Genomic DNA, 2,531 nt, shown 5'->3' with positions numbered 1-2,531 from the left:
TGTTATGGGCTTTCAATCTATATTTTTATGGTAATTTCTGAGTTTTAAGCCTTACATTTAAGTATCTAATTTTAGTTGATTTTTATATGTGGTGTGAGAAGAGGATCTCATTTTATTTCTCTGCATGTGGATATAAAGTTTTCTCAACCCCATTTGTTGAAGAGACTGTCCTTTTTAAAAGAAATTATAAAATAAGTTAGCTTAAATACGTGGATATATTTCTGATCTCTTTTCTGCTCCATTGGCCTATGTGTCTGTTTTTATTCAAGTACTATACTGTTTTGGTTACTATACTTTGTAGTATATTTCAAAGTCAGGTATAGTGATACCTTCAGCCTATTTTTATTTTTTTATTTTTTTTCTGTTTGGTTGCTTTAGCTATTCAGGGTCTTTTGTGGTACCATATAAATTTTAGGTTTGTTTGTTTGTTTATTTATTTATTTATTTATTTATTTATTTATTTATTGAGACAGTTTCACTCTTGTTGCCCAGGCTGGAGTGCAATGTCATGATCTCACCTCACCGCAACATCTGCCTCCCAGGTTCAAGTAGTTCTCCTGCCTCAGTCTCCCGAGTAGCCAGGATTACAGGCATGTGCCACCATGCCTGGCTAATTTTGTATTTTTACTAGAGATGGGGTTTCTCCATGTTGGTCAGGCTGGTCTCGAACTCCCAACCTCAGGTGATCCACCCACCTCAGTCTCCCAAAGTGCTGGGATTATAGGCATGAGCCACCATGCCCTGCCAAATTTTAGATATTTTTAAAAAATTTCTATTAAGTATGTCATTGGTATTTTGATAGAGTTTGCACTATATCTGTAGATCATTTTGTGTAATAAAGATATTTAGTGTATTAATAAGGCAAATTTGTGAATAAGTACTATTTTTCCATTTGTTTATTATTTAATTTTTACTTTAATGTTCTTTAGATTATAATATATGGTGTTTTAACATTTTGATTAAATTGATTTCAAAGTATAGTTACTACAGTTATTGTAGATGGGATTGTTTTTAAATTTCATTTTGAGGTAGTTAATTTTTAATGTATAAAGCTGATACTATTTAATGTTGATTTTAAATTCTGCAAGTTTAATAAATTTGTTTATTCTAGTGGTTCTTAGTGAAGTGTTAGTCTTTTCTATACTGTAGATTATGTTATGTGCAAAGAGGGATAATTTAACTTTTTGGTTTTTTCAATCTGGATTCCTTTTATTTTATTCTCTAATTTCTCTGTCTTGAATATTTAGTACTACATTCAGTAAGTCTGAAGGAAGTGGGCATCCTTGTCTTGTTCTAGTTCTTAGAGTAAAAGCTTACAACACTTTCCTGTTTAGTATGTTGTTAGCTTTGCATTTTTTTATTATACATGGCATTTATTGGCTTGAGATGCATTTGTCCTGTACCTATTTTTTTCAGAGATTTATTGTGAGGGAATGTTGAATTTTTTTGAAACTTTTATTCTGTATTTATTTGAATGTTAGATTTGTGAAATCACAACTAATCCATATAAATACAGAACATCCTCAGATACTACTATAAATATCTCTATGCATGCAAACTAGAAAATTTTTTAAAAAATAGATAAACTTCATATACACAATCTCCCGAGACTGAACCAAGAAGAAAGAGAAGTCTTGAACAGAGGAAAAATTTATAACAAAATTAAATTTGTAATTAAAAATACCCTACATAGTATAAAAGGCCCTGGATCAGATGAATTCACAGCTAAATTCTACCACATATCCAAAGTTGAGCTTGTGCTAATCCTTCCTAAGTTGTTATATGAAATCAGCATCATCTGGATACCAAAATTTAGTTAAGACAACAAAAAAATCTATAGTTCAGTATGCCTGATGAACATTGAAACAAAAATCTTTCATGAAATACTAGTAAGCTGAGTTCATAAACAAATCAAAAAGTTATTTTGCCACAATCATGTGAGTTTCATTTCATGAATGCAAGGATGTTTTATCATATGCAAGTCAATAAGTGTGACTCACCATATAAAGATAATTAAAATGATTAAACCATATAATTATTACACTAGATGTGGAAAAATCATTAAAGGAAATTTAATGTTCATAAAAGTATTCTCAACATGCGACATACAAGGCATTGAAAAAAATACCTCACAATAATAAGAGCCATCCTCAGGCAACATTATCCTCAGGCAACATTATACTGAACAGGAAAAAGCTTGATGCATTCTTACAAATAAAAATAAGATCAATGTCCACTCTAAATATTCCTATTCAACATAGTTCTGGAAGTCCTAGCCAGAGCAATCCAACAAGATGAAAAAAGAAAAAGGCATCCAAATAAGAAAAGAGGAAGTCAAATTATCTTCACTGATGATATAATTCTCTACTTGAAAAACGTTAAAGATTTCTCCCAAAGACTCCCAAGCCTAAAAAATGATTCAGCAAAGTGTCAGGATACCAAATCAATGTACACAAATGACTGGCATTTCTATACACCTTGAATAACATTCAACACTTGAATAACATTTAAGCAGAGAACAAAATCAAGAA

The 2,531-nt window shown here is 30.8% G+C and overlaps 1 annotated feature.

Moving 5' to 3' along the window:
* Positions 2,274 to 2,474: a silencer, noted in NCBI's record as "peak6534 fragment used in MPRA reporter construct". NCBI's record gives its function as "represses an SCP1 promoter by STARR-seq MPRAs in K562 erythroleukemia cells {active_cell/tissue: K562}" and the evidence as "EXISTENCE:reporter gene assay evidence [ECO:0000049][PMID:32103011]".

This window comes from Homo sapiens, chromosome 7 (assembly GCF_000001405.40).
Source record: "Homo sapiens chromosome 7, GRCh38.p14 Primary Assembly".
In the NCBI taxonomy this organism is placed as follows: Eukaryota; Metazoa; Chordata; class Mammalia; order Primates; family Hominidae; genus Homo; species Homo sapiens.
The sequence above is the reverse complement of the archived record's forward strand: the minus strand, read 5'-3'. Positions and strand labels throughout refer to the sequence as shown.